Here is a 6,978-nt window from a genome sequence, read left to right as displayed (position 1 = left end):
AACTCCAGCGCATTAGAGCTTAGATAGGTAGGAAGTGACATGACTGAAGTGGTGTTTTAGGAAGATTAAACAAATGCATTTGCTAAAATTATAAATTGACACATTTCAAACTCGGTAAAAAAAAATCATATGTTATTTCCAAAAAACATACTGAGGCAGGTGAGAGTTAGTTGGCTAATCTAGTCCTCCTCTGCATCCTCTACTACAGAGTCTAGAACAGATAAATACTTATTTTCCAGCCTTCTTTGCAGCTAGATGTGATCATGTGATACAGTTCCAGCCAATGAGATGAAAGTATGGGGTGTCTGGGAAACTTTTTGCTTTTCAGACAAAAGGAACTGACATAGCTGGAGCTACTCCGACCCTTTATTCCTGACTTGGAAATCATTGTGTTGTCTTGAGCTGCAGAAGACATCTTGTAAGCATGAGGCAACAAAGCAACGTGCTAAAGATAGCACTAGGAAAGAAAGTGAGTACAACCTCTAAAACTCTTAAAAATGCCAAAAAAAAAAAAAAGAGAGAGAGAGAGAAAGCTAGAAAAGCAAAAGAATACATACTTACTAAGTTATGGTTAGTTCTGATTTCTGAACTTGTAGCTAAAAGCTTTCCTAGCTGATATTTACAATACTCATAAAATAAAGTGACAGAAAAAGTTTAAAAGTAATACATGATGTGAAGATAAGCAATAGCATTAACACAAAAGGACATGTTCCTGTGTTAATAGAAGACAAACTAGAATGAACCAGAAAAGTAGAATCAAGAGGGCCTTGTTATGCTGATAAAGGACAAATGTTACAGTGGTGATACAATGACCATAAACCTCTAGGGAACAAATAAAATTGCATTGAAATATGCAATTTTCATATTGAAATCAGAAAAATATTTTATTGAAAATATTGAAATCAGAATATTGATTACAGAATATTGAAATATTCTGAATATTGAATATTGAAATCACAAAAATATTTTATAAAAATGTAACAATGGTGGCAATTTTTTAAAAACTGGTATCTGAACAAAATAATTACTAAAGTCTATTTTTAAAGCATCTATGTTGGAGAATACCTTACAAGCTAGATTAGGGAAGACCTTTCTAAAATGACCCAGAAGCTAAAAACTCTAAAGTGTAAGAAAAATGTTTGACTACAATGAAGAAAACATTTTTCTTTAGCAGCAAACACCACAGGCAGAATAGAAAGTTAAGCAACTAATTGGAAAATGCTTACAAAATAAATGTCAAAGGTTTAGTATTTTTATTCCCTAGAAAACTCTTAAGAATCAGCAGGGAAAAAGCAAATAACTCAATAGAAAAAAAAGGACAAGTCTGGGTGCGCTGGTTCGTGCATGTAATCCCAGAGCTTCAGGAGGCAGAGGCAGGCAGATTGCTTGAGTCCAGGAGACCAGCCTGGGAAACATAGCAAGACCCCATCTCTACAAAAAATACAAAAATTAGCAAGCCAGGGTAAAGCATGCCTGTAGTCCCAGCTACTCTGGAGGCTGAGGTAGGAAGATCGCTTGAGCCCAGGAGGTTGAGGCTGCAGTGAGCCGTGACTGTGCCACTGCATTCTAGCCAGGGCAACAGAGCAAGACCCTGTCTCAATAAAAAAAAGAAAAGAAAAAAGAGGGCAAATATCATAAACAGGCAATGCCTAAAGAAACAGATAAAAACATAAGTATATAAAAATATGTTCAGTGAAAAAATAAATATGCATTTAAATAATAATGAGTTACTATTTCTTTATAGTGGCAAATATTAGATTGTCCCTACGTTTTATTTGTGAGTGTGACAGAGAGAGTCACTTGCATTTTCTCTTTAGTGATGGGCCTTGGAGTCACCCTTGAAGCTAGGTGTGGTCATGTGACTAAGTTCTGTCCAATGAGCTGGAACGAGGAGTGCTGTGTGGGGCTACTGGGAAGTACACTTAAAGAAAATGCCTCAGTGAGGAGCAGCAGCACTCTGGGTACTTCATGTCTCCTCCTTTGTCCTGTGACTTGAAGACAAAAGCTAGAGATTCAGGAGCCCATCTTGAACAATGAGATACCTGAGAATGGAAACCAGATGTTGGAAGAGCAGAGCAGAGAGACAGTGGGAATCTGGTTGTCTGGTTGGTTTGGAGTCTGCAACAGCCTAGACTGCTTTCTTTCCTGTCGCTGTACCCAAGGTCCAACTCAATCCCTAAGAGCTATACCAAAGGTGGTGAAGAGTAAACTGGTGGAGGAGACTTTGGTGACATGTCAGAGAATTGTAAATGTGCTTGGATTTTGGCCCAAAGAATTTTACTTTTGGAAAGCTATTTAAAACAAATAATTAGGCAAATGTACCAATATATAGATATAATAAGACATTCATTGGAGCATTATTTTCATAACGAAAATTTTGTTAAGAAAAAAGGAATGTGGATGTTTTTACTCTTGTATCATAATATTTAGTGCAAACCCTGATATTTAAAAGTTTCTTATTTATTTATTTTTTATTATTATTTTTGTAGAGACAGAGTCTTGCTCTGTCATCTAGGCTAGAGTGCAGTGGCATTATCATAACTCACTGCAGCCTCTAATTTGTGGGCTCAAGCAATCCTCCCATCTCAGCCTCCAGAGTAGCCAGGACTATAGCTGCCTGCCATCATGCCCAGCTATTTTTTTTTTTTTAATTTTTGTAGAAATGGGATCTCACTATGTTTCCCAGGGTGGTCTTGAACTCCTGGCCTCAAGTAATCCTCCTGCCTCAGCTTCCCAAAGTGCTGGGATTATAGGCACAGGCCAACATGCTGGGCCTGAAACTTTCTTAAAGTTTGCTGAATAAGTGAATGATTAAAAGATTGCTTAAATAAACCATGACATATTCACCTAATAGAATGATATGTACTGGTTATAAACTTTAAATACTGACACTTAAAGATGTCCACAATGTTTTCCATTAAAAAAGATTGTAGTCTAGAATGTGTGCATCTTTATATAGTACACATTTCTATAGCACTTTAATTTCATAAAAACAAGCACATATTTCTATTACCAGAAAAAAGATATTCCCATTTTATAAAAAAGTAAATATATTTCAAATTTTGTGCCATCAGTGAATTTTCCTTAACATTCAAAAATTCTAATCACATAAAAGTCTATAAATAAAATCTCAACATCAAAAAGAAAATTTATGAAATATTCATTTTGGCTACTATGCAACAAAATATAAAACAAAAGAATTACTTGGAATTCTATTTTTTTTAGTCTCATAAATAATGTGGGTCCGAGAAACAATTAAAACAAGAAAGGCTGGGCATGGTTGCTCACGCCTATAATCCCAGCACTTTGGGAGGCCAAGGCAGGCAGATCACTTGAGGTCAGGAGTTGGAGACCAGCCTGGCCAACATGGTGAAATCCCATCTCTACTAAAAATAAAAATTAGCCAGGCATGGTGGCGGGCACCTGTAGTTCCAGCTGCTCAGGAGACTGAGGCAGGAGAATTGCTTGAACCCAGGAGGCAGAGGTTGCAGTGAGCCAAGTTCGCACCACTGCATTCCAGTTTGGGCAGCAGAGCAAGACTCCATCTAAAAAACAATTTTTTTTAATTAAAACAAGATATTTTAGAAATGGATGATATTGGGACCAAGTCTTAGGAGAATTAAGAAGATGGCGTAGCCAAAGAACTGTGCTCAGTGTCCTGAATGCTTTTATTGAACTATGAAAACAAGAACAAACAAATTAAGTATGGAAAGTAGGAGGTTGAGGATAGCAAAGACAAAAGTAGACGATTAAACAAAACAATGGTAGAGTTGAATACATTAATCCAACAATTGTTTCTTTGCAAAGACCAATAAAATAAGCAATTCTAACGTGTAAAAATGATAAAGAAAAAACAAATATTTTAAACATTTTAGACTTAGAATATAACATAGAGGCAAGAGAATATAACAACAGTTAAGTAAACTGAGGCACAATAAAATTTTAAAGAGTTTATTTGAGCAAATGTTCATGAATCCATAGCTCCAAACAAGAAGTGGTTTGGGAGCTCCATTAAAGGAACACAAGGGGGAAGGTTTTATAGAATAAGCACAGAAGTAAAGCACAGAAAATATTTGGTTACAGTTATGCAATTGCCTTCTTTGGTTTATCCCATTGGAAAGTCCCTAGCTATATTAGTTTGTTGTTTGTTTCTGATTAGTTGAGCTCCAGTTCTGTTTGTTTGTTGTTGTTGTTTTAATATTGTATAGGCATTTGCAAGAAACAGCTCCAGTTAAGTTTCACTTATGTTTGTAAAAGCAAGGTTGAGGTCATTTATGAGACTCAACTGGCTTTGTCTGCTCAGGGCTTCTTCAGGCCTGGTCTTCACTTTAACACAACTATAAGTGAATATAGCTATAATTCTTTAAGACCAAATTCAAAAATATAAATAAAGTGAATAAATTTTTTAGGAAAATATAGATTACCAAATCTAACTGAAGAAGAGGAAGAAAATGTGAATATACCAATAATCATGGACAAAATTGAAAATATATTCCAAGAATTACTCAGCCCAGATGGTTTTACAGGCGAGACTATAGACTGTCAGAAATAGATGAATTTTATACAATTTAAAATTCTAGGGCATAGCAAGAGATGGAATTCCTCAAGTGCTGTTAGTAAGTTAGCAAAACTTTGATACTAACACATGGTTTTACCATAAAGTTTCATAAAACCGAAGGTAAACATCACTTGCTAATATATTAATAGATATAAAAAGACCAAATAAAACATTAAAAAATATGAGTATATATATCATGGCCAAGAAATAGTTCAGCCAGAAACTTGAGTGATTCAACATTATGAAATTGATTTAGTCCATGATAATAATAGCCAAATGAAAAAAGCATATAATCATCTTGGAAAATGGCCTAAGCATGCATCCTTGTTTTAAAAAGAAAAAAATGATGAAAGAAATTTCTAAGTAAATAAGATCAAAAGAACACTTTTCACACATGGCAAAACTCTAGAGTGTTAATGGCCAATGATTTTCACTGTGCTCATTCCTATCAGTTAGTGGTAGCTGGGCGGGTAGAGCTGGTTGGAGACTGATGCATCAACAGCATCTAAGTTCTGCAGAAAGAGTTCTGAGAGTGAGTCCTGGTTTCTGTCATTAGTGGAAGGCTGTGGAGAGGCAGCATATACTTCAAGAATGCCATGAAATCAAGAACACGACAAGAATGTTCATTTTCGGCTGGGCGCAGTGCATCACGCCTGTAATCCCAGCACTTTGGGAGGCCGAGGTGGGCGGATCAAGAGGTCAGGAGATCGAGACCATCCTGGCTAACACAGTGAGACCCCATCTCTCCTAAAAACACAAAAAATTAGCCGGCGTGGTGGCACACGCCTGTAGTCCCACCTACTTGGGAGGCTGAGGCAGGAGAATCACTTGAACCTAGGAGGCGGAGGTTGTAGTGAGCCAAGATTGCACCACTGCACTCCAGCCTGGGCAACAGAGCAAGGCTCCATCTCAAAAAGAAAAAAAAAAAGAATGTTCATTTTCATGTTATTGTTCAACATTTTCTGAAAGTTCTAGCAAATATGGTATAACAACTGTTGGAAAGGAGGAAAAATATGTTACCGTTATTTCTACTGATGCTGCCTAGCTTGAGTGAAATCTGGGTCATGGTAAGTAAAGAACTCCACTGCGGCAATTCATAGAGCAGGGCAATGTGGTTAAAACAACAGCGTGAACCTGCAGCAATGAGTCCCACCCTACTCATCCTTTCCCTTTTGTGCTTGCCCATGCCCTTTGGGAATGAAGCACCACCAGCACCAGTGTGACCCCAAAACATCACTGTTGGAGTATATTTCCAAGGAACTATGGGAACTTATAAGGCATGAGGAATATCCAAAAAATTAGAAAGCAATGTATTGGTATAGGAAGAATAAGAAACTTGCTAACATCACTTTACTTTTGTGCCAATCACCTGTAATATATGGAGTCTTTTAAAAAGGAAAATAAAGAAAAAAAAACCAACCTTACATCCTTTTCTGCTATATAGTCACATCATTTACTGGCAAAACTTAATGTATGTACTTTCCAGTGAATGGAGCCCAGAAATTGCTCACACCAAAGACAATTAAATTCGTATTATTATAATCATATTATCCTTGAGAAAATAAAAGTAGGATAACAGTTTTGATCTCTGCTTTTGCTAAATAAAGACTTTTCACATAATCTGTGCTAAAATGTGTTGAACACTGAGTTATTATCTGAATAGAGCTCTATTTGGCAACTGGTTTAATCAGCTGTTTCACAATTTGTCATACATTTATGCCAGTTAATTTGGTTGTCTGACAATGGGAAATTTGCTTTTAAAGATTGTGATTACTGCATGGCATCACCCTTCTGACTTCTAAATTAAATACCACAAATTTTAATGATAATGCCCAGTCTGCCTATAAATGAACACACAAATAAGTAGTTAAATAAATATTCCTAGCTTTCCAGAGGGAAGGAAAGAAAAACAAGTATAGGCCGGGCATGGAGTTTTGCACCTGTAATACTAACACTTTGTGGGCTGAGGCAGAAGAATTGCTTGAGCCAAGGAGTTCAAGACCAGCCTGGGCAACAAAGTAAAACTCTGTCTCTACAAAAAATACAAAAATAATTAGCTGGCCATAGTGGTGCATGCCTGTAGTCCCAGCTACTGGGGAGACCGAGGTGGGAGGATCGGTTGAGCCCAGAATTTCGAGGATGCAGTGAGCTATAATCATGTCACTGCACTCCAGCCTGCATGACAGGGTGAGAGCCTGACTCTAGAAAAAGAGAAAAGAAAAAGAAAAACAAATCTCTTTCCCTCATCAGCAGCTTTCAGTTCATCATAATCACAAGGTAGTATTTTCACAGTTGCTTTTGGATGTGACCCTTGACAATTATTTGCATGACCTATTTTCAAATGCATTTCTAAATGCCCTGCATGCATAAATTGATTTTTAATATTCTGTTTCTGTAAGAATTTCAAAAACTACATTGAG

The sequence above is a fragment of the Homo sapiens genome, chromosome 7 (assembly GCF_000001405.40).
Source record: "Homo sapiens chromosome 7, GRCh38.p14 Primary Assembly".
NCBI classification, from domain to species: Eukaryota; Metazoa; Chordata; class Mammalia; order Primates; family Hominidae; genus Homo; species Homo sapiens.
The sequence above is the reverse complement of the archived record's forward strand: the minus strand, read 5'-3'. Positions refer to the sequence as shown.